Here is a 25,200-nt window from a genome sequence, read left to right as displayed (position 1 = left end):
ATGACTAGATAAGCTGGGCATAGAGGGCACAGCATCATCTGGTGAAACGAAGGTATCTGACACGGGTCATTTACATATACCGCCTGGAAAGGAATGGTTGGGGGAGGGGTTCTTATCATTTATAGAGTAGGGATAATTGAAGCATCCTTCAAACGGGAAGAAGGATGAAATAAGATAAATTATGAGTAAAATGTCAGAAAACATCTAGTGCTCTAAGATTCACAAGGAGAATAAAAGTGACTGGCTGGCTCCCTTTGGTTAAAACGAACTGGCCAGAAGCTGCAAGGTTCCTTGCTGGGATTGGCTCTCTGCAGCCACCGTCCCCACGCTGGGGCTTCAGGTCTCCTAGCAACAAGTTGTACCATATGAGGACGGCCGCTGAGGTGAGTACTTAGAGAGGGTCAAATTCAGAATTTGCAGGTGCAACCCGGAAAGTCCCCGCGGACCTAGAGGCCCTGCTTTTCAATTAGCCTGACCCTATGCACAGAGAGGTCCCTGCGGGACAGGGTCGCTTCACAGAGGCAGCTGGCCGAGGCCGCTCACCCGCCGCTGTAATGGTGTGTGGTTGCCCACCAGCCACCGTCCCCTCGAGCCCCCACCACCCGCTCTACCGCCCCCTCGAGCCCCCACCACCCGCCCCACCGCCCTCTGCTGCCTGGGGCTGTTGCTGGTTCCAGGCCTTCGGGTCGCCCCTTGGCCTCTGGTTATGTGAGCCCATAGTCCTTCCTGCCTTGGTGACATCGTATACGAAAAGCCGGGGCTCGATTTGGACATAGTAGGAATCCTATTATTGAGACCCTGTATATAGAAAAACATGGCAGTTTCTACCTTCATCAGTTAATAAAATCAAGTACCTACTATTGCTATTCTTAATCATAATTACATTGAATTTGCGATGGGGGTGGGGGGAAATGCATGTCATTGCAGTTGATACCTGTTAAGAAACTCTTAATTTGTGCCCTGAAAAGCCATAATGGAGATATCAATGCCTCCACCTCAGATATATGTAGAAAAAACTCTGGCCATTATCAAACCAGATATTGTTGACAAAGAGGAGGAGATACAAGATATTATTCTTAGATCCGGATTCACCATTGTTCAGGTAACTTCTGGGTATGATGATTCATGCTTTTTTCCTCTCTGCCCTTAAAAAAAAAATGCTTATGTAAATGTGCCTACCCATTTAAACCCTTAGTGTTCAGCATTAAATTTAAGTTTATTCTTCTAAGTATAAAAGTTATATGTGATAGTTTTTAAAAGGATGTAAAATGAGAAATAAAATGGACTTTTCCTTCACCTGTCCTCTTTTACCCCAAGTCCCAGGCTCCAGAGAGAGGCAACCACTTAACACTTTCTGTTCTTCCAGGAGTTTTCTATGCATTTATAAACATTTTCCCCCCATAAAACAGAACAGTCCCTTTCCCTTGACCCCTTTACAGAGTCCCTCAGATAGGATTCCAGATCATTGCATCTGAATTGATCTCACTCTTCCTAATTTCTGTGTAATATTTCCCTGTGTATTAGAACTACAATTTATTTACTTGATCTTCTATTGATGGAATTTTAGGCTATTGGTACTTTTTTCAGTTATGGCATAACATTTAATGTTTTAAGCCTTATGTTCTGCAATTAGTAAACATTGTCATTCTAGGGGTTTGAAAGTGAATATAAATAGCATTGTTAAGGATAAATCAAATAGAATTGAATATTTTTAATCTTCCTCTTTTATAGTTTTTTTTTCTTTTTTTTGAGACAGAGTCTCCCTCTGTAGCCCAGACTGGAGTGCAGTGGTACGATCTCGGCTCACTGCAACCTCTGCCTTCCAGGTCCCGGTTCAAGCAATTCTCCTGCCTCAGCCTCCTGAGTAGCTGGGATTACAGGCATGCACCACCATGTCCAGCTAATGTTTGTATTTTTAGTAGAGACGGGGTTTTACCATGTTGGCCAGGGTGGTCTTGAACTCCTGACCTCGTGATCCACCCGCCTCGGCCTCCCAAAGTGCTGGGATTACAGGTGTGAGCCACTGCACCCCGCCTCTTTTACAGTATTCTCATTCGAACTTCCAATTTTTTATTTTCTCCCATTTATACAGTGTCATATTGCTTATTCAGTCAGTATTTTTAAAAATAAAGAGAAAATGGCGGGTACGGTGGCTCACGCCTGTAATCCCAGCACTTTGGGAGGCCGAGATGGGTGGATCATAAGGTCAGGAGTTTGAGACCAGCCTGGCCAATGTGGTGAAACCCCATCTCTATGAAAAATACAAAAATTAGCTGGGCGTGGTGGCGTGCACCTGTAGTCCCAGCTACTTGGGAAGCTGAGGCAGGAGAATCGCTTGAACTCAGGAGGCAGAGGTTGCAGTAAGCCAAGACTACGCCATTGTACTCCAGCCTGGGCAATAGAGGGAGATCTGTCTCAAAAAATAAATAAATAAATAAAGAGAAAATATCAATCTTCAGAAAAGATACGGAATTTCAGTTGAGCTTCAAAGGACAGGTGGAGTCCGAGAGTAGGGATGGCACAAGAAAGTGTTAGGAAGTATTTAATATGATTAAAGACTCAGGTAAATAACTTTTTAGTAAATGTTAGGAAAACTGGTAGCCACTGAAAAATTTGGATCAAGTATTATATACCAGGATAAACTCCAAATAAACCTGAGATCTACATATTAAAAAAATTAAACCATGTAAGTTCAGGAAGAAAAGATAATGGATTTATTTTGTTGTTGGAGTAGGACAGCCTTTTTTTTTTTTGTTATGACTTAAGGTCTAGGAGCCATGGAAGAAAAGATTGATAAGATTATATCAACAAGGCCAGGCACGGTGGCTCATGCCTGTAATCCCAAAACTTTGGGAGGCCAAGGTGAGTTGATCACCTGAGGTCAGGAGTTTGAGACCAGCCTGACCAACATGGAGAAACCCCATCTCTACTAAAAAATACAAAATTAGCCAGGCGTGGGGGCGCATGCCTGTAATCCCAGCTACTCAGCAGGCTGAGGCAGGAGAATCGCTTGAACATGGGAGGCGGAGGTTGCCGTGAGCCGAGATCGTGCCATTGTGCTCCAGCCTGGGCAACAAGAGCGAAACTCTCGAAAAAAAAAATTTTTTTAATTTAAAAAAAGATTATATAAACAAAAAATTTCTGCACAATGAAATAAACACCATAAGCAAAGTCAAAACACAACAAACTTGGGAAAAAGATTTGCAACTCATAGACAAAGGGCTTGTCTTCTTAATACATAAAGAGCTCCTAGAAAAAGATAAAAATAAATTAGTAGAAAAATGGGCAGAACAGATGGATGGTCACAGAAAAGGAAAAACATTTTTTAAATATATGAAAAGATGCTCAATCTTTAGGTGGGAAAAAAAGCAAGTTAAAACTACACTGAGATTCCATTTGGCAAAAATATAAAAGTAAATGGCACAACCCCTATCAAAGGGAATCTGGCAGTTATCTACCAATACAACAGATGGACTTACCATTTGATCCAGCAGTTCTGCTCTTGGAAATCTGTCCTATAGAATTCCTTGTGCTCTTACTACCTGTCATGCGCAGAGCCCTGTTTAGTCCCATCAGTAGGTGCCTGTATTAATATGAAGTGATATATATGCAGGTTATTTTTTGCAGCATTGTTTACTTATCAACAAAAGATTGAAAATAACCCAGGTTGGGAGATTGGGAGACAGGACTAAATAAACTCTGGAAAACCCATCAAATTGCATAATATGCAACTAATTGTAAATAGAAGAATGAGGAACCTGTCTGTACTGTTAACGGAAGAAAGCAAAGTGTGTAGCAAAAAGAACAAAATAGCAAAAAAAACACAAAATCATGTGTACCAACCTTTTGTGATAGAGACAAAGTAATATATTCATGTTTGCCAATATTTGAAAAATGGAATTCTGGGGAAATAAACATTTAAAAAGGGTTGCCTATTGAGGGCAAGGAAGAACTGAGTAGATTAGGAAATGGATAGGAATAAGATTTTTCAGTATATACCTTTTTGTCTTGCTTTGAATTTTTGAATCCTGTAATTATATTACCCATTAACTTTAGAAAAAATAAATGAAGTATACAGATAAAGGCGTCCCATTTAAGTTTTTTAAAAGTCCGTATTTTGCCCGGGTGCAGTGGCTCATGCCTGTAAACCCAGCACTTTGGGAGGCCAAGGCGGGTGGATCACCTGAGGTCAGGAGTTGGAGACCAGCCTGACCAACATGGTGAAACCCCGTCTCTACTAAAAATATGAAAATTACCTGGGTGTGGTGGCACGTGCCTGTAATCTCAGCTACTGGGGAGGCTGGGGCAGGAGAATGGCGTGAACCCGGGAGGCGGAGGTTGCAGTGAGTCAAGATCGTGCCATTGCACTCCAGCCTGGGCGACAGAGGGAGACTCTGTCTTGAAAAAGAAAAAAAAGTCCTTTTTTTTTTTTTTGAGACGGAGTCTCGCTCTGTGTCGCCCAGGCTGGAGTGCAGTGGCGCAATCTCGGCTCACGGCAAGCTCCGCCACCCAGGTTCACGCCATTCTCCTGCCTCAGCCTCCCGAGTAGCTGGGACTACAGGCACCCTCCACCACGCCCAGCTAACTTTTTGTATTTTTAGTAGAGACGGGGTTTCACTGTGTTAGCCCGGATGGTCTCGATCTCCTGACCTTGTGATCCACCTGCCTCGGCCTCCCAAAATGCTGGGATTACAGGCGTGAGCCACTATGCCCGGCCAAAAAAGTCCATATTTTAAAAAATATTTAGTGACGGCCGGGCGCGGTGGCTCACGCCTGTAATCCCAGCTCTTTGGGAGGCCGAGGCGGGCAGATCACAAGGTCAGGAGATTGAGACCACAGCGAAACCCCGTCTCTACTAAAACTACAAAAAATTAGCCGGGCGCAGTGGCGGGCACCTGTAGTCCCAGCTACGAGGCAGGAGAATGGCGTGAACCCGGGAGGTGGAGCTTCCAGTGAGCTGAGATCGCGCCACTGCACTCCAGCCTGGGTGACAGAGCGAGACTCCGTCTCAAAAAAAAAAAAAAGTGACAAACTTAATAATTAAGTGGCTAGTGTTAATTATAAATTAAAAATTAGCCGGCCGTGGTGGCTCAATCCTGTAATCACAGCACTTTGGGAGGATGAGGCGGGTGGATCACCTGAGGTCAAAAGTTCAAGACCACCCTGGCCAATGTGGTGAAACCTTATCTCTACTAAAAATCCAAAATTAGGGCTGGGTGCGGTGGCTCATGCCTGTAATCCCAGCACTTTCAGAGGCCGAGGTGGGTGGATTACCTGAGGTCAGGAGTTCGAGACCAGCCTGGCCAACATGGTGAAGCCCCATTTCTACTAAAAACACAAAAATTAGCCGGGCGTGGTGGTGGGAGCCTGTAATCCCAGCTACTCAGGAGGCTGAGGCAGGAGAATCGCTTGAATCTGGGAGGCGGAGGTTGCAGTGAGCTGAGATTTCACCACTGCACTCCAGCCTGGGCAACAAAGCAAGACTCCATCTCAAAAAACAAACAAACAAAAATCAGCTGGGCGTGGTGGCGCATGCCTGTAATCCCAGCTACTCAGGAGGCAAGGCTGGAGAATCACTTGAACCCGGGAGGCGGAGGTTGCAGTGAACTGAGATTGTCTGGGCAATGTACTGAGACCAGAAAAAACAAACAAACAAAAAAATTTAATGTAAATATATATGACACTTTCCCTAGTTAGTAACTTTCAGAGCAAAGGCAGCCATGGTACATCCTTCATTTTTTGCTTTAATTGCGGTAAAATATACACAACATAAAATTTACCATTTTAACCGTTTTTAAGTGTACATTTCAGTTGCATTAAGTACATTCACATTGTTGTACAACCATCACTACTGTCCATTTCTAGAACCTTTTCATCTTAAACTGAAACACTCTACCTAATGCTAACTCGTTGCTTCCCTCTTCCCCATCCCCGATAACCACTATTCTACTTGCTGTCTGTAGGAATTTGACTATTCAAGCTATCTAATTTAAGTGAAATTATGCAAGTTTTGTCCTTTGCACTGTATGCTTTTAAAATAGGCTTGGGAGTCCAATGAACTTGAGGCTTTCCTGTCCCACTTAAGGGAAAAGCTGAAAAATGATATGTCATTTCAGTAGATGGCAGTGTTGCCTTTGTTACAAACTAAGAGTTCTGTTCTGATAGTACTTGGTATCACTGCTTCTCTGTGAAAATATTCAACCTAATTTCAGATGAGATCGGGTGTGTTCAGGGTGGTATGGCTGTAGACTATTCAACCTAATTTCAAAAAATTTCACCTGATCCAGTTTTAAAGCAACCAATGGAATAATTGATTTAGTATCAATTTTATTTAAAGATGAACCCTTAAGGCCGGGCGCGGTGGCTCACGCCTGTAATCCCAGCACTTTGAGAGGCCGAGGCGGCAGATCATGAGGTCAGGAGATCAAGACCATCCTGGCTAACACGGTGAAACCCCGTCTCTACTAAAAATACAAAAAAAAAAAATTAGCCGGGCGTGGTAGCAGGCTCCTGTAGTCTCAGCTACTCCGGAGGCTGAAGCAGGAGAATGGCGTGAACCCAGTAGGCGGAGCTCGCAGTGAGCCGAGATCGCGCCACTGCACTCAAGCCTGGAGGACAGAGTGAGATGAGACTCCGTCTCAAAAAAAAAAAAAAAGATGAACCCTTAATTTTAAAAATTGTGCTACATTGGCTGGCATACCTGCAGAAGGTAGGTTCCCCTGCTTTTTAAGGGGCAAGTGGCAGATAAGGGCTTACATTACAACAGATGAGATTTTATTTTTAAACTCAGCAAGAAAAAACAAAAAAAAAAAACGCTAATACGCATAATCATAGTTTCATGTCTTAATTTTAGATAATAGAATGGAGGATTATGCTAAATCAGGTGCTCTTGTAATTTCTCACATCTTTTATTTAATCGCTGTATGAATTTCAATTTGAGAACAAATGTCAGCACCTTTTTCATAGTAACTGGCCCTTCACTGGTGAGAATCCAGTGGGTCCTATTCATAGCAGAGCTATGCCACCTAGGTAAGCGTGTTCCTAAACTTCTTGCTCTGGGCGGTTTGGTCCCTTGCTACAAACCAAGCAATTTTACCAAGTTTCTGAAGCCTGCGGAGACACGGAATTTTGGAAAGGGCTTTAAGAGGTGAGTTACTTGGTAAAATTCACACTTACTCTCAGGAAAATCTAAGACATTTTAGAAAGACAGATTTCTGCCATAATCATGGAGATTTTTAGCCTTCACTTAGTGACATATCTCCATTTTTCATCATCCTTACTGCAGGCAGAGGTTCTTTGATTTCTACTTTGAATCCCTCTGTTATATTTTGAGCATTTTCTCTCCTCACCCACCTTTAGTGGAATTGAAAAAACAGCAGTAATAAATAATTTTTTTTTTCTTTTGAGACCAAGTCTCACTCTGTTGCCCAGGCTGGAGTGCAATGGCATGATTTCGGCTCACTGCAACCTCTGCCTCCTGGGTTCAAGCAATTCTCGTGCCTCAGCCTCCCGATTAACTGAGACTACAGGTGTGCACCACCAATTTTTGTATTTTTTGTAGAGACGGGGTTTCTGCGTGTGGCCCAGGCTGGTGTTGAACTCCTGGACTCAAGCAGTCCGCCTGCCTCGGTCTCCCAGAGTGCTGGGATTAGAGGCATGAGCCACCGAGCCTGGCCAGCAGTAATAAATAATTTTTTAAAAGCTCTCAAGGCCGGGCGCGGTGGCTCACACCTGTAATCCCAGCACTTTGGGAGGCCAAGGTGGGCAGATCATCTGAGGTCAGGAGTTCAAGAGCAGCCTGGCCAACAAAGCGAAAAACCTGTCTCTACTAAAAATACAAAAATTAGCCAGGCATGGTGGCAGGCACCTATAATCCCAGCTACTCAGGAGGCTGCGGCAGGAGAATCACTTGAATCCAGGAAGTGGAGGTTGCAGTGAGCCAAGATCACACCACTGCACTCTATCTAGCCTGGGTGACAGAGCAAAACTCCGTTTCAAAAAAATAAAAAAAAAAAAAAGCACTCAAAATAGCTGCTTCTAGAGAAAGCATGAGTTTCAAATTAGACTGAGCTACCATGATTTTTTAAACCTGATTAATTTTTATAGTCTCATTTGTGAAGGAAATAACATCTATTTGTCCAGAGTGTTTCATACTCTTTCAGATTGAGAAACATACTAGCATCTAATTTTTTTTTTTTTTAGACAGAGTCTCATCCTGTTACCCAGGCTGGAGTGCAATGGTGCTATCTCAATCTTGGCTCACCACAACTTCTGCCTCCTGGGTTCAAGCAATTCTCATGCTTCAGCCTCCTGAGTAGCTGGGATTACAGACATGCACCACCACGCCTTACTAATTTTTGTATTTTTTTTTTTTGACGGAGTTTCACTCTTGTTGCCCAGGCTGGAGTGCAGTGACACGATCTTGGCTCACTGCAACCTCTGCCTCCCGGGTTCAAGTGATTCTCCTGCCTCAGCCTCCCAAGCACCTGGGATTATAGGTGCCCGCCACCACGGCTGGCTAATTTTTTTTTTTTTTTTTTTTTTTTTTTAGCAGAGACGGGGTTTCATCATGTTGGCCAGGCTGGTCTTGAACTCCCGACCTCAGGTGATCCACCCACCTCGGCCTCCCAAAGTGCTGGGATTACAGGCGTGAGTCACTGCGCCTGGCCTAATTTTTGTATTTTTAGTAAAGATGGGGTTTCACCATGTTGGCTAGGCTGGTCTCAAACTCCTGACCTCAGGTGATCCACCTGCCTTGTCCTCTCAAAGTGCTGGGATTACAGGAATGAGCCACCACACCCGACCTAATTTTTCTTTTTTCTTTTTTTTAGACGGAGTCTCGCTCTGTCACCCAGGCTGGAGTGGAGAGGTGCAATCTTGGCTCCCTGCAACCTCTGCCTCCCGGGTTCAAGCTGTTGGCCTGCCTCAGCCTTCCGAGTAGCTGGGACTACAGGCGCGTGCCACCACACCTGGCTAATTTTTTGTATTTTCGGTAGAGACGAGATTTCACCATGTTCACCAGGCTAGTCTCGAACTCCTGACCTCAGGTGATCCACCCACCTCGGCCTCCCAAAGTGCTGGGATTACAGGCGTGAGCTACCGCGCCTGGCCTGATTTTTGTATTTTTAGTAGAGATGGGGTTTCACTATGTTGGCCAGACTGTTCTCGAACCCCTGACCTCAAGTGATCTGCCTGTCTTGGCCTCCCAGAGTGTTGGGATTACAAGCCTGAGCCACCATGCCTGGCCTAATTTTTCTTAATGTTACAGTGAATCAAGATATTTATGACAGAACCAGAATAAAGAACACACGTTCAAATGAAAAACTTTTTACTGCATCATTATACTACATGTTACTTTTTTTGTTAGTTTGTTTGATACAGGGTCTGCTTTATCGCCCAGGCTGGAGTGCAGTCGTGTTATCATGGCTCACCACCTCTAATGTAGTGGGGACTACAGGCGCACACCACCACACCCGACTGATTTTAAAATTTTTCATAGAAACAAAGTCTTCCTGCGTTGCTTAGGCTGGTCTCTAACTCCTGGCTGGGATGAAGCGATCCTTCCGCCTTGGCCTCCCAAAATGCTGGGATTATAGGCATGGGCCACTGTGCCTAGCTGTTATTTCTAAGTACTAAAATGAGACCAGCTCCCAAAATAGTAACACAAATAGAGAAACATGAATTTGGAATATTTTTAAGTCCAGTTTTGTTAATTGAAGTGTTATTTACTTTAAGAAGGAGATGCGATAAATTTGTTACTGACAAAACATATGCTGAGGGAGGCTTCCTAACTGGAATAATTTTTCTTTTTCTCTGTCGCCCGGGCTGGAGTGCAGTGGTGCAGTCTTGGCTCCCTGCAACCTCCGCCTCCCGGGTTCAAGCAAATCTTCTGCCTCAGCCTCCCGAGTAGCTGGGACTACAGGCGCATGCCGCCCGCCCGGCTAATTTTTTGAATTTTAGTAGAGACGGGGTTTCACTGTGTTGCCTAGGCTGGTCTCGAACTCCTGAGCTCAGGCAATCCACCGACCTCGGCCTTCCAAAGTGCTAGGACTACAGGCATGAGCCACCGCACCCGGCCATAATTTTTCTTAAGTAGGCTAAGTAATTCCTCTTACTATCTTATTTACAGCATACATTTAATTATATCCTTTTCTTTCTTCATAATACAAAGATAAACCTTGAAGTTATAATCAGATTGGTACTAGTTTCAAGTTACTAATGATTTTAATGAGCTATCATTGAACTGTCATTTTAAATGCTTTTGTTGACTTTGTGTCTTTTATAGAGAAGAAAACTACGCCTCAGCCCTGAGCAATGTAGTAACTTTTATGTGGAAAAGTATGGAAAAATGTTTTTCCCCAACTTAACAGCTTACATGAGTTCTGGACCACTTGTCGCCATGATATTAGCTAGACATAAAGCCATCTCTTATTGGTTAGAACTTTTGGGACCAAATAATAGCTTAGTAGCGAAGGAGACACATCCAGACAGGTAATTTTCAGGGTTTGGGGGATGGCAGGGAATGGAATCCATCTGTGAAAATGAAAAAAAAAAATCTGATTTCATTGTAATGGGAATTTTTTTTTTATTTGGAAGTTTTCCAAAATCAACTTTTTTGGGGGGCAGAGGGTGGCAGGGCCTGGGGGGTCCATTTTACATTTTAAAGTGTTAAATGTCTATTTTAATACTACCTACCAGAAAAAGCAACAGAGAATGTCTGATTTATAGTTGATTACCCTTATTCTCTCAACCTTTAAACTGCCACTGAAGTAGGATTTTTAGATGGAAAAATTGGAATGGTATTTTAAAAGAATAATGGTAATACAGGAACAGAAATTCAAATTTTCAGCATTATTGCTAATGTATGGAAACAAGAAGATATTGAGTTCTTGCACTTTTGAATGTGCATTGCTTTTTTACTTCTCACAAAACAACACCACGTTTTTATCCAGAGAACTCCTATTTTCTCAGTGTATTCCTCCTGCAGACGTAAATATATTTGATCCTTATCTAGATAGATAAGCTTAAATTTAAGCTTAAATTTGACATAAATTGTGAAGCTTTCATATGTAAGAAGTGGCAATGCTTTTGTAAAATTCTTAAGTGGAATGCATGCATATAAAGTAAGGAATAGACGTTAGATTGGATGGACGTCATCTCTAACTTGTTTTTAGTCTGAGGGCAATTTATGGCACAGATGACCTAAGGAATGCACTTCATGGGAGTAATGACTTTGCTGCTGCGGAAAGAGAAATACGTTTTATGTTTCCTGAAGGTGAGTTACAGATGACTAACTTGTCAACTGCATCTCCTTATTGTTTGCTTTTTCTTTTATTTTGCGGATATAGCTGGGAAGGAAGATAAAATAATTTTTTTTCCAGTATATTTTGTTATGTTTTCAAGTTGTAGTTACTTAAAAACTTGAAGCCACAAATGGAAAACTTGACATTTCCCTAACAACTAAATTGTGCCCTTTAGGGAGTCTTTTGAGAAGTGTTTAATTTTTATTTATTTATCTATTTTTAACATTAAAAAAATTTAAGACAGTGTCTCACTGTCGCCGACGCTGAAGTGCAGTGGCACAATCTTGATTCATTGCAGCCTCAAACTCCTGGGCTCCGGTGATCCTCCCACTTTAGCCTCCCGGGTAGCTGAGACTATAGGTGCATGCCACCATGCCCAGCTAATTTTCTTTTATCTTTTGGAGAGATGGGGTCTCTCCGTATTGCCCAGCATACTCTCAGATGCCTGTGCTCAAGTAATCTGCCTGCCTTGGCCTCTCAAAGTGCTGGGATTGCAGGTGTGAGCCACCACACCCAGCTTAATTCTTTTTTCTTTCTTTTCTCTTGCATTAGACATATTCTTCTGTGTAACAGTTCTTTCTAGTTATCCTGAAAGGTTCAGTAGAGTTTGTGACACATGAGAAAAATAGTCTCTCTAGGAAACTACATTTGATTTACCGTCTTCTGTAACAATTTACTGTTTGCCTAACAAAGTCTCATGCAATTGAGAAATTAATAACTAGTCCCTTTTTTTGTTTCCTTACTGTTAGAGAAGTTGTAAACCTTTGAGAAGTGGACATACGAGGAAGAACACTGAAGTTTTTGGTTTGTTTTTAATATTTTTAGAGCAGAAATAAAATTTGGTGATTTTTGTTATAAGGAAAAAAATGCAAAGCATTGAGCAAAATTTTGGATTTTTTTAGTATGTTATTTTTCCTGTTATGACTTATTTTTCCCTAAGTCATTTAGATCTGTTCCTCAGTATTTTCCACTGGATATTCATTCAAATAAAACAGAAAACTGTCTTGGAGATTTAAAAGTTCCTGATATATTTTTTTTCTTTTTTTTGGAGATTTCACATGTTTTGAATAACTGATGTGATACAACAGTATCACTGTTGTTTGAATTTCTGAATTCAAAATAAATACATTTCACATTTTGAATACTTGATCTGTTACTTTTTAGTGCCAACAGGGTCGGTAACGGCCTGATGCTGACCTGACAATGGGCTGACAACTTTTCTCCACTGGCCTTTCAGTCATCCTCCCAGGGGAAGACCTGCTTCCCTCCTTTCTGTACAGTCTGAAAAGTCCCTGATTCTTAAACAAACAAACAAAAACCACTTTTAGAAATATATATTTTTTCTCAAAGCAGTCCTCCTGCCTCAGCCTCCCCAAACACTGGGATTACATGAGTGAGCTACCGTGCCCAGCGAGAGGTCTTTTTAATATGGTAGCACTTTATATTAGTCTTACAAGTGAATTAGACTTTTGCTCGTTAGCTTTTATTATTTATTTATCTATTTGAGATGGAGTCTCAGTCTGTCACCCAGGCTGGAGTGCAGTAGCATGATCACGACTCATGGCAGCCTCGACCTTCTGGGCTCAAGTGATCCTCCCACCTCAGCCTTTGAGTAGCTGGAACCACAGGCGCATATCACCACGCCCGGCTAATTTTTATATTTTCTATAGACATGAAATCTCACTACGTTGCCCAGGCTGGTCTTGAACTCCTGGGCTCAAGCAATACTGCTGCCTCTACCTCCCAAAATGTTGGGATTATAGGCATGAACCATCATGCCTGACTTCTCTTTAGCTTTTAAATAAAACAGGATAAAATTTCATTTTATCTTAAATAGAAGGTATATTTGGAAGCTCTTCTTACTCATAGGATTATATTCCTAAACTGTAATTTTCTTTCTTTTCGCTTTCTTTCTTTTTTTTTTTTTTTTTTTTTTTTTTGAGATAGATTCTCACTCTGTTGCCCAGGCTAGAGTGCAGTGGCACAATCACAGCTCACCGCAGCCTTGACCACGCAGACTCAAGTAATCTTCCCACCTCAGCCTTTGGAGTAGGTGGAACCCCAGGTGTGCACCACCACACCTGGCTAGTTTTTCAAGTTTTTTGTAGAAGCGGAGTTTTGCCATGTTTCCCAGGCCAGTCTCGAACTCTTGGGCTCAAGCAATACTCCCACCTGCCTTCCAAAGTGTTGGGATTACAGGCATGAGCCACTGTGCCACTGTGCCCAGCCAACTGTTATTTTCAGTTGCCTTTGATTTTACTCATTAAATTAATCCGCTAGGCATGAGTTTAGAGATATAGTTAGACATTTGAGAAGCAGCAAGTTGTAGGATAAATATAAAATCATTAATTACTTAGCACATTGTAGCTCTTTTGCTGTGAAGTTCTTTGGAGCAAGTACTCAGAGTTTGTGGTATGAGCGTCCTCTTACTTAGCAGTTGATGAACAACTATGTGCAAAACTTTATACGATGATTCACTCAAGCAAGTTATCAAGATATTTAAAGGCATGTTCTTAACCCTTGAAAAAAGTAATGCTGGCTGGACGTGGTGGCTCACAACTGTGATCACAACACTTTGGGAGGCTGAAGCGGATGGATCACTTGAAGTTGGGAGTTCAAGACCAGCCTGGCCAGCATGGTAAAACCCTGTCTCTACTAAAAATACAAAATTAGCCAGGCGTGGTGGCGCACGCTTGTAATCTCAGCTACTCAGAAGGCTGAGGCAGGAGAATTACTTGAACCTGGGAGGCAGAGGTTACAGTGAGCCGAGATTGTACCACTGTACTCCAGCCTGGGTGACAGAGTGAGACTGTCTGAAAGAAAAGAAAAGAAAAAAGTAATGCTCTCTTCTTTCCCTTTTTTCTGGGGGGTGGTCACAGGGTCTCTCCATGTCACTCCAGATGGAATGCAATGGTGCAATCATAGCTCACTACAACCTTAAACTCTTGTCCTCAAGCAATCCTCCTACCTCAGCCCCTTGAGTAGCTGGGACTACAGGTGTGTACCACCATGCTCGGCTAATTTTTTAATTTTTTTGTAGAGATGGGGTCTCACTACATTACCCAGGCTGGTCTCTTTTCCCTTTTAATATAAATGGCTAATTCAAAGTTTTGCTATATTCCATTTCTTCAACAAATTTATTAAGTTGCCTACTATTTGCCATAAATGCAAAGCTGAATAAGAAGATATCCCTGCTATCAAAATGATTATATTTGAAAATAAATATACAGTCTGGGTGTGGTGGCTCACACCTGTGATTCCAACACTTTGTGAGGCTGAGGCGGGAGAATCACTTGAGTCCAGGAGTTGGAGACCAGCCTGGGCAACATAGCAAGATCTCATCTCTACAAAAAATAAAAAATTAGCTGGGCATGGTGGCCCATGTCTGTAGTCCCAGCTACTCTGGAGGCTAAAGTGGGAGGATCACTGGAGCCTAGGAGGTTAAGGCTGTTTGAGCTGTGATGGCACCAGAGTGCTCCAGCCTGGACAACAGAGTGAGACCCTGTCTCAAACAAACAAACAAATAAATAAATAAAACAAGGATGAGAGAAAACTTAAAAAACTTAAAGTTCATCCATGTAAGAAACATGAAAACACTCTTTTTATTCTCTCATTAATTTATTCAGCCCTAGCCTGGCATGGTGGCTAACACTTGTAATCCCAACACTTTGGGAGGCAGAGGCAGGAGGATTGCTTGAGCCCAGAAGTTTGAGAGCAGCCTGGGCAATATGGCAAGACCCTGTCTCTACCAAAAATAAAAAAATTAGCTGGGGGTGGTGGTGTACACCTGTGGTCCCAGCTACTTGGGAGGCTGAGGTGGGAGATTCACTTGAGCCCAGCAGGTCGAGGCCGCAGTGAGCTGCATTTGCGCTGCTGTACTTCACTTGGGTGACAGAGTGAGACCCTCTCAATAAATAAATAAATGAATAATTCACTAATGAAATTAAGAAAACAATTCCAGGGAAGAAAATATTTGCAAACCATGTATCTGATAAGGGGTTAATGTCTAAAATATATAAGGAACTCTTACAAATCAATATCCAAAAAACCCCTAAATAACCCAATTAAAAAATGGGCAAAGGACTTGAATAGATATTTTTCTAAAGAAGACATACAAATAACCAACAAGTATATGAAAAGGTGCTTAAGGCCGGGTGTGGTGGCTCACGCCTGTAATCCCAGCTCTTTGGGAGGCCGAGGCTGGCAGATCACCTGAGGTCAGGAATTCAAGACCAACCTGGTCAACAAAGTGAAGCCCTGTCTCTACTAAAAAAAAAATACAAAAAATTAGCCAGGTGTGGTGGCACGTGCCTATAATCCCAGCTACTCGGGAGGCTGAGGCAGGATAACCACTTGAACCCAGGAGGTGGAGGTTGCAGTGAGCCAAGATCGCGCCATTGCACCCCAGCCTGGGCAACAAGAACAAGACTCCATCTCAAAAAAAAAAAAAAAAAAAAAAAAAAAAGTGCTCAAAATCACTAATCATCAGGGAAATACAGATCAAAACCACGGTGAGATATCACCTCACACGTTAGGATGGCTATTATCAAAAGAAAAAAAGGTAAATATTGGCAAGCATATAGGGAAATTGGAATGCTTGTACACATTTGGTGGAGATTAAAAATGGTGCTGCCACTATGGAAGACAGTATGGAAGTTCCTCAAGAAACTAAAAATAAAACTGTTACATGATCTAACAATCCCACTGCTGGATATATATATCTGAAAGAATTGAATCAGGATCTTGAAGAGATACCTGCACCAATGAACCACAATAATGTTCATTGTGGCATTATTCACAATAACCAAGATATGGAATCAACCTAAGTGTCCATCAGTGGGTTAATGGATAAAGAAAATGTGGTGTATATACACAATGTAATACTATTCAGCCTTAAAAAGGAAGAGATTCTGTCATTTTTGACAACATGGATGAACCTGGAGGACATTATATTAAGTGAAATAAGCCAGGCACAGAAAGACAGATATCACATGATCTCACTTATATGTGGAATCTAAAAAAACTTGAACTCGGAGAGTAGAATGGTGGCCACCAGGAGCTTGCAAGAGAGAGTAGGGGATGGAAATGTTGATCAAAGGATACTTATTCCTGTGATAGTAGGAATAAGTTCAACATGGTGACTATAGTTAATAATAATGTGTTGTTGAAAATTGCTAAGACAGTAGATTTTAAGTGTTCTCACCACAAAAAAAGATAAGTATTTGAGGTAATGCATATATTAATTAGCTTGATTTGTCTTTCCATAGTGTTTACATATTTCAAAACAACATGTACACAATAAATGTATACAATATTTCTTATCTATTAAAAAATTTGTTGTGCTCACTTCAGCACATATGCTAAAATTGGAACGATACAGAGAAGATTAGCTTGGCCCCTATGCAAGGATGACATGCTTTTAAAATAAAAAGAAATTTTAAGTACACTTATAAGTTAAAAAAAATTTGGGGGACCAGGGGTGGTGGCTCATGCCTGTAATCCCAGCACTTTGGGAGCCTGACATGGGCAGATCACTTGAGGTCAGGAGTTCGAGACCAGACTAGCCAACATAGTGAAACCCCATCTCTGCTAAAAATAAAAAAAAATTAGCCTGGCATAGTGGCATGCATCTGTAATCCCAGCTACTCAGGAGGCTGAGGCAGGAGAATTGCTTGAACCCAGGAGGCAGAGGTTGCAGTGAACCGAGATCGCACCACTGCACTCCAGCCTGGGCAACAGAGCAAGACCATGTCTCAAAAAAAAAAAAAAATTAAAAAAATTTTTGTTTAATGATTAGTACCTGATAAATTGGCATAATGAACTTTATATAATATATGAATAAAACATTTGCCCATATTGAGAAAAAATTGTATACATTAATTGTGTGCAATTTTGTGTACATGAGTAATACTTCAATAAAGCTGTAAAAAGGAAAATTCCATTCACAATGACATTAAAAATAATATAATATTTAGGCACAATTTTTTTTTTTTTTTTTTTTTTTTTTTTAGAGACAGAGTTTCGCTCTTGTCACCCAGGCTGGAGTGCAGTGGCCCGATCTCAACTCACTGCAACCTCTGCCTCCTGGGTTCAAGCGATTCTCCTGCTTCAGCCTCCCGAGTAGCTGGGATTACAGGCGCCCACCACCACGCCCAGCTAATTTTTTGTATTTTTAGTAGAGACAGGGTTTCGCCACGTTGGGCAGGCTGGTCTCAAACTCCTGACTTCAGGTGATCCACCCGCCTTGGCCTCCCAAAGTGCTGGGATTACAGGTGTGAGCCACCACGCCCGGCCATATTTAAGCATAAATTTAATGAAAGTGCAATTCTTGTACACTGAAAAACAAAGAACATTGCTGAGATAAATTTTAAAATAAATAATAGATATTCCATATTAATGGATTGGAAGACTCAATATTGTTAAGATGGCAATTCTTTCTAAATTAATTAACAGTTTTGGGTTGGGTGCAGTGGCTCATTCCTGTAATCTCAACACTTTGGGAGGCTGAGGCAGAAGGATTGCTTCAGTCTAGGAGTAGGAGACCAGCCTGGGCAACAAAGTGAGACCTCATCTCTACAAGAAAAAAAAAATTTAAAGAAAATTTTAATGTAATCCTTTTAAAAGTCCATGCATACTTTTACGTAGACATTGACAAGCTGAGTTTAAAATTTAGCAAAATTGCAAATAATTCAATTTTAGAAAAGAAGAACAAAGTTGGAAGACTTCCACTATCTGATTTTGAAACTTACTGCAAAGCCACAATTATAAGACGGTATGACAGTGATATAAAGATACACATATAGATTATTGGAACAGAATTGAGGATCTAGAAGTAAACTTTTACACTTATGGTCAATTCACTTTCAACAAAGGTGCCTAGACAATTCAGTGAGAAAAGGATGGTCTTGCCAATACAGTCCCCAACTTACCATGGTTCAAGTTACAGTTTTTTGACTTTACTATGGTGCTTTCAGCTGTGTACATTAATGGCGAGTATCCATACAACCATTCTATTTTGGTTTCCTTTTTTTTTGAGACAGGGTGTCTCTCTGTCACCCAGGCTGAAGTGCAGTGGTGCCCACTACAGCCTGACCTCCTGGGCTCAAGCATTCTCCCACCTTAGCCTCCTGAGTAGCTGAGACTAGAGGCATAGACCACCATGCCTGGCTACTTTTTGAATTTTTTTGTTGTAGAAAGGCAGTCTCGCCATATTGCCCAGGCTGGTATTGAACTCCTGGCCTCAAGAGATCCTCCCCCAAAAATGATATATATATATATCTTTTTTTTTTAAGAGACAGAGTCTTGCTTTGTTGCCCAGATGGTCTCAAACTCATGGCTTCAGGTAATCCTACTGCCTCAGCCTCTCAAGGAGCTAGGACTACAAGTGTGAACCACTGTGCCCAGCTCATAATATATGTATATTATATAGAAAATGTTATTTATATAAAATTTGCTTTGTGTTAGATGATTTTGCCCAACTGTAGGCTAATGTAAGTGTTCTGAGCACATTTAAAGTAGGCTATGCTATGCTATGATGTTCAATAGGCTAGGTGTATTAAATGTGTTTTTGACTTACTGATACTTTCAACTTATGATGGGTTTATTGGGATGTAACCCATGTAAATTGAGGAAAGTCTGTATATGGTGCTAGGACAGCATGATAGTCACATAAAAACAAAAAGAACTTAGACCCTTGTTTCATAGCATACACAAAAATTAACTCAAAATGGATCACAGACTTCAATGTAAAAACATCTAAAAGAAAACAAGAAAATCTTTGTAACTGGAGTTGGACAAAGACTTCTTAAAATGACATCAAAAGCAAGATCCATAAAAGAAAATATTGATAAATTGGACTAAATCAAATTAAAAGCTTTTGTGCTTCAAAGGACATCATTAAGAATGTGAAAAGAGGCTGGGCGCGGTGGCTCATGCCTGTAATCCCAGCACTTTGGGAGGCCGAGGCAGGCGGCTCACAAGGTCAGGATATCAAGACCATCCTGGCTAACATGGTGAAACCCCGTCTCTACTAAAAAATACAAAAAAATTAGCCGGACTAATTAGTGGCGGGCACCTGTAGTCCCAGCTACTCAGAAGGCTGAGGCAGGAGAATGGCGTGAACCCAGGAGGCGGAGCTTGCAGTGAGCCAAGATCGCGGCACTGCACTCCAGCCTGGCGACAGAGAAAGACTCTGTCTCAAAAAAAAAAAAAAAAAAAAAAGAGCTGGGAGCAGTGGTTTGCACCTGTAAATCCAGCTATTCAGGAGGCTGAGGTGGGAGGATTGCTTGAGGCCAGGAGTTTGAGACCAGCGTGAGTGACACCCTGTCTCTAAACACTTAAAGAAAAAAAAAGCTGGGTGTGGTGGCACACACTTGCAGGCCCAGCTACTTGGAAGGCTGAAGCCAGAGGATGCTTCAGCCCAGGAGTTCGAGGCTGCAGTGAGCTGTGCTCACACCACCACACTCCAGACTGGGCAACGGAGCAAGACCCTGTGTCAAAAAAAAAAATAGAAGTTAAATTTTTAAAAATATGAAAAGATAGGTAGGCAACAGACTGGGAAAAAATATCACCAAATAATATAAAGAACTTGTAACTAGAATATATAAAGAACTCCTATGTCTAAATAATAAGAGAAACATCCCAACTGAAAACTGAGGCTGGTTCTACTCAGGAGGCTGAGGCAGGAGAATTGCTTCAACCTGGGAGACGGGGTTGCAGTGAACTGAGATTGTGCTGCTGCACTCCAGCCTGGGTGACAAGAGTGAAACTCTGTCTCAAAAAAAAAAAAATAAAGAAAAGAAAAGAAAAAGAAAACAGGCTGGTTGCAGTGGCTCATGCCTGTAATCTCAGCACTTTGGCAGGCTGAGGCAGGCAGATTATTTGACGTTAGGAGTTCAAGACCAGCCTGGCCAACATGGTGAAACCCCATCTCTACTAAAAATACAGAAATTAGGGCCGAGCATGGTGGCTCATGCCCGCAATCCTAGCACTTTGGGAGGCCGAGACAGGAGGATTACCTTAGATCAGGAGTTTGAGACCAGCCTGGCCGACATGGTGAAACCCTGCCTCTACTCAACGTACAAAAATTAGCCAGGCATGGTGGCACACTCCTGTCTACTTAGGAGGCTGAGGCAGGAGAATCACTTGAACTCAGGAGTTGGAGGTTGCAGTGAGCTGAGATTGTGCCACTGCATTCCAGCCTGGGCAACAAAGCGAGACTCTGTCTCAAAAAATAAAAATAAATAAAAATACAAAAATTAGCAGGGTGTGGTGATGCGGACCTGTAGTCCCAGCTACTCGGAAGGCTGAGGTGGGAGAATCACATGAACCCAGGAGGAGGTTGCAGTGATCTGAGATTGCATCATTGCACTCCAGCCCAGGCAACAGAGTAAGACTCCATCTCAAAAAAACATATAAAAAAATAGAGAAAAGTTCTTTAAAAAGAACCTTTTTAATGATTGTATAGTATTTAATCATTATGTTTGCATCAATGAGAATACATTTGTATTTGCAGTGATTGTTGAGCCCATTCCAATTGGACAAGCTGCTAAGGACTATTTAAATTTACATATAATGCCAACTCTGCTTGAAGGACTCACAGAGCTTTGTAAGCAAAAACCAGCAGATCCTTTGGTAAGAAATATTTTTATTCACACTTAAGAATATTGTCACCAGGCGTGGTGGCTCATGCCTGTAATCCCAGCACTTTGGGAGGCCAAGGCGGGCGGATCCGAGGTCAGGAGTTTGAGACCAGCCTGACTAACATGGTGAAACCCCGTCTGTACTAAAAATACAAAAATTAGCTGGGCGTGGTGGCATGTGCCTGTAATCCCAGCTACTCAGGAGGCTGAGGCAGGAGAATCACTTGAACCCAGAGGCAGAGGTTGCAGTGAGCCGAGATTGTGCCACTGCACTCCAGCCTGGGTGACAGAGCAAGACTCCATCTCAAAAAAAAAATTTTTTTTTCTATAAATTGTCTGTAGTTTTCACGTTTAAGACATTGTGTCTTTGAAATACTGCGAATATAGCTGGGCGCAGTGGCTCACGCCTATTATCCCAGCACTTTGGGAGGCCGAGGTGGGTGGATCACTAGGTCAGGAGATCAAGACCATCCTGGCTAACACGGTGAAACCCCATCTCTACTAAAAATATAAAAAATTAGCCGGGCGTGGTGGTGGGTGCCTGTAGTCCCAGCTACTTGGGAGGCTGAGGCAGGAGAATGGCGTGAACCCAGGAGGCGGAGCTTGCAGTGAGCCGAGATTGTGCCACTGCACTCCAGCCTGGGCAACAGAGCGAGACTCCATCTCAAAAAATAAATAAGTAAATAAATGAAATACTGCAAATATTGAGAACCTTTTTAAAATAAACATTTCTAGAAGGTATTTCATATACATGTTAGATATGTATAATTATTGATTACTTATTATTTTCTTGCTGTGTTTTATTTATTTATTATTATTATTTTTTGAGACGGAGTCTCACTCTGTTGCCCAGGCTGGAATGCAGAGGCGCAATCTGGGCTCACTGCAACCTCCGCCCCCCAGGTTCAAGTGATTCTCCTGCCTCAGCCTCCTGAGTAGCTGGGATTTACAGGCGAACACCACCACGCCCGGGTAATTTTTGTATTTTTAGTAGAGACAGGGTTTCTTCATGTTGGCCAGGCTGGTCTCGAACTCCTGACCTCAGGTGATCCACCTGCCTTGGCCTCCCAAAGTGCTGGGATTGCAGGTGTGAGCCACCGCGCCCGACCTATCTTTCTTTTTTTTTGTAGCCATGCTAGTAGATAACACAAAATGGTTTCTCACGGTGGTTTTGATCTGCATTTCCCTAATGGCTAATGTTGAACATCTTTTCATGAGCTTCTTGGCCATTTGTATACCTTCTTTGAAGAAATGTCTATTCAAATTGAAGTCCTTTGCCCATTTTTAAACTGGGTTGTCTTTTTGTTGAGTTAAAGTTCTTTGTATTTCTAGATGTTAAACCCTTATTAGATATATGATTTGCAAATATTGTCTTCCATTTTGTAGGTTGTCTTTTCACTTTCTTGATAATGTCCTTTAATGTATAAACATTTTTCATTTGATGAAATCCAATTTATTTATTTTTTCTTTTATTTCTTGTGCTTTTGATGTCATGTCTAAGAATCCATTGTGAAATCCAAATCCAAGGTCATGAAAATTTACCCCTGTGTTTTATGTTTTCTTTTAAGATTTTTTTTCTTTCCTTTTTTTTTTTTTTTTTTTTTTGAGACAGGGTCTTTGTTCCCCATGCTGGAGTCTGGTGGCGCCATCTCGGCTCACTTCAACCTCTGCCTCCTGAGTTCAAGTGATTCTTGTGCACCAGGCTGCCAAGTAGCTGGGACCACAGGAGCACACTACCACACCCAGCTAATTTTTAAAATTTTTTGTAGAGATGGGGTCTCCCTATGTTGCCCAGGCTGGTCTTGAACTCCTGGTCTCAAGTGATCTTCCTACCTCGGCCTCCAAAAGTATTGGGATCACAGGTGTGAGTCACTGGCCTCTTTTAAGATGTTTATTGTTTAAGCTCTTATATTTAGGTCATTGGTCCATTGTGAGTTCATTTTTGTATATGGTGTGGTATAGGGGTCCAACTTTATTCATTTGCATGTGGAAATCCAATTGTCCTAGTACCATCTGTTGAAGAGACTGTTCTTTCTCCAAGTCCAGTGGTACCAATGGGCTTGGTACCATTGTCAAAAATTTGTTGACCATAGATGCGTGGGTTTATTCCTGGATTCTCATTCTTTTTTTAAAATATGAAATGCTTAATAAATTGTGCATCATCCTTGCACAGGAGCCATGCTAATAATCTCTCTGTATCATTCCAGTTTTGGTATATGTGCTGCCGAAGAGAGCACTGGACTCTCAGGTCCATTCTATTGGTCTGCATGTCTGGCATAAGGATGTCATTACCACACTGTGCTGACTACTGTAGCTTTGTAGAAGGTTTTGAAATTGAGAGTACAAATCAGTCCTCCAACTTTGTTCTTTTTCATGATTGTTTTGGCTCCTCAGAGCCCCTTGCAATTTCATATGAATTTGAGGATTGGCTTTCCATTTCTGCAAAAAAACTTGTTGGACATTTGGCAAGAGCTGCACTGAATCTGTAGATTGCTTTGGGAAGTATTGACATCTTAACAATATCAAATCTCCGTATCCATGAAAAATAATGTCTTCTCATTTATTTAGGTATTCTTTAATTTCTTTCAGCAATGTTCTACAGTTCTTAATGTATAAGCCTTTCGCTTCTTGGGTTAAATTTATCCCTTGGCATTTTATTTGTCTTTATGCTACTGTAAATGAAAGTGATTTAAAATTTTTTTTTGGACTGTCATTGCTGATGTATAGAAATACAGTTGATTTTTGTGTATTGTAACCTACATCTTCGCTGAATTTATTAGCTGTAGTGGCTTCCTTGTAAATTCCTTAGGGTTTTCCACATGTAGGTTTATGCCATCTGTGAAAAGAGATAGTTTTACTTCTTTCTTGCCAGTTTGGATCTATTCTTGACAATCTTGCATAATGTAAATCCAAATGTTTCCATTTTTAATGGTCATTTTCTTAAAGTGATTTTGAAAACTGTTTAAGTTTCCAATTGATATAGTATATATTGAAAGGAAATATGTAACTGTTTCTTAACTTAGGTTGTTTTTTTTTTTCCCATAGATTTGGCTAGCTGATTGGCTGCTGAAAAATAATCCTAACAAACCCAAACTTTGTCACCATCCAATTGTAGAAGAACCTTATTAAAAAAAAAATCCTCGAAAGAACAAATCATGAACTATCTTATTATAAAAGGCTGTACTTCTACTGTTTGAAAAAATTATTTCTAGGGTTTAAGTAACTACAAGTAAAATAAATTTATTTCTTAAAAATAAGTGTTAAAGGAATAACTATTCTATGAAGCAGATAACATTAAGGTAAAATATAGGCTTAGAGTATGATTTTAACAATGATGTAACACTAGGTAATGGAAAACTCATGTAAGATGTTGCTAGATGTTTTTGTTTTTCTTAAGTTTGAGAAGTAAGACATAAAGTTTAGTTATACATTTTCCCAAGCACATATCCTATATCTAAATACATAATTAATGCACAGTTGAGACAGTCTAGTTTAAAAGGCTTAGGTCCTTTTGTAGTCCATAAGCATGGTGATTTGGTTTCATGCTCATGTGTCAGATATGCTTCCCTCAAACCTTGTTACAGCATCATCACATTACCTGTTTGATGTAAAAAATAAAAAATAGAAAGGTGTAAGTATATAAGTAATTTTTTGGTACAATGAAAATGGCCAGAACCAGGGGATGATCTTAAACTAATCACTTGGATAACTATTAGGCTGGTGCAAAAGCAATTATGGTTTTTGTCATTAAAAAACAATGGCAAAAACCACAATCACGGCCGGTCTTGGTGGCTCACGCCTCTAATCCCAGCACTTTGGGAGGCCGAGGCGGGTGGATCACGAGGTCAGGAGATCGAGACCATCCTGGCTAACACGGTGAAACCCCGTCTCTACTAAATATACAAACAATTAGCCGGGCGTAGTGGCGGCGCCTGTATTCCCAGCTACTCGGGAGGCTGAGGCAGGAGAATGGCGTGAACCCAGGGGGCGGAGCTTGCAGTGAGCCGAGATCGCACCACTGCCCTCCAGCCTGGGTGACAGAGCGAGACTCTGTCTCAAAAAAAAAAAAAAAAAAAAAGAGAAAAGAAAGTATAATGTAAGAAAATGTGAAAACAGAAAGATTGTTAGCTGAAAAAAAGTATGTTACAAAGCAATATGCACAGTGTACGCCCATTTGGTTTTGGTTTGGTTTTGGTTTTTTTTGTTTGTTTTAATAAGATAGGGTCCCGCTATGTTGCCCAGGCTGGTCTCAAACT

The 25,200-nt window shown here is 41.4% G+C and overlaps 1 protein-coding gene, 1 non-coding gene and 2 pseudogenes across 10 annotated transcripts, besides 1 other annotated feature; 3 read left to right on the top strand and 1 right to left on the bottom strand.

Moving 5' to 3' along the window:
• The first annotated feature begins 325 nt into the window (after positions 1 to 325).
• Positions 326 to 24,579, top strand: NME5 (NME/NM23 family member 5). Of its 9 annotated transcripts, none has more exons than NM_003551.3 (6): positions 326 to 383; positions 969 to 1,102; positions 10,286 to 10,491; positions 11,175 to 11,275; positions 20,818 to 20,936; positions 23,990 to 24,579. In NM_003551.3, exons 2-6 carry the CDS (start codon positions 974 to 976, stop codon positions 24,071 to 24,073), a joined length of 639 nt encoding a protein of 212 aa, NP_003542.1. In that variant the 5' UTR covers positions 326 to 383; positions 969 to 973; the 3' UTR covers positions 24,074 to 24,579. The 9 variants fall into 9 exon arrangements, with proteins under 9 accessions (NP_003542.1, XP_016865434.1, XP_047273760.1 ...); XM_017009945.3 differs by having other exon boundaries at positions 23,152 to 24,201; XM_047417804.1 differs by having other exon boundaries at positions 326 to 775; positions 23,152 to 24,201.
• Positions 7,068 to 7,268: a silencer, noted in NCBI's record as "peak5489 fragment used in MPRA reporter construct". NCBI's record gives its function as "represses an SCP1 promoter by STARR-seq MPRAs in K562 erythroleukemia cells {active_cell/tissue: K562}" and the evidence as "EXISTENCE:reporter gene assay evidence [ECO:0000049][PMID:32103011]".
• RNU6-888P (RNA, U6 small nuclear 888, pseudogene) lies at positions 16,643 to 16,720 on the top strand (annotated as a pseudogene).
• RNU6-460P (RNA, U6 small nuclear 460, pseudogene) lies at positions 23,074 to 23,181 on the bottom strand (annotated as a pseudogene).
• LOC124901208 (small nucleolar RNA U13) lies at positions 24,450 to 24,552 on the top strand. The gene has a single exon (XR_007059172.1). It is a non-coding gene; the product is annotated as a small nucleolar RNA U13 (small nucleolar RNA).
• Positions 24,580 to 25,200: the final 621 nt, after the last annotated feature.

Source organism: Homo sapiens, chromosome 5 (genome assembly GCF_000001405.40).
Source record: "Homo sapiens chromosome 5, GRCh38.p14 Primary Assembly".
In the NCBI taxonomy this organism is placed as follows: Eukaryota; Metazoa; Chordata; class Mammalia; order Primates; family Hominidae; genus Homo; species Homo sapiens.
This window is presented reverse-complemented; position numbering and strand designations above follow the sequence as displayed.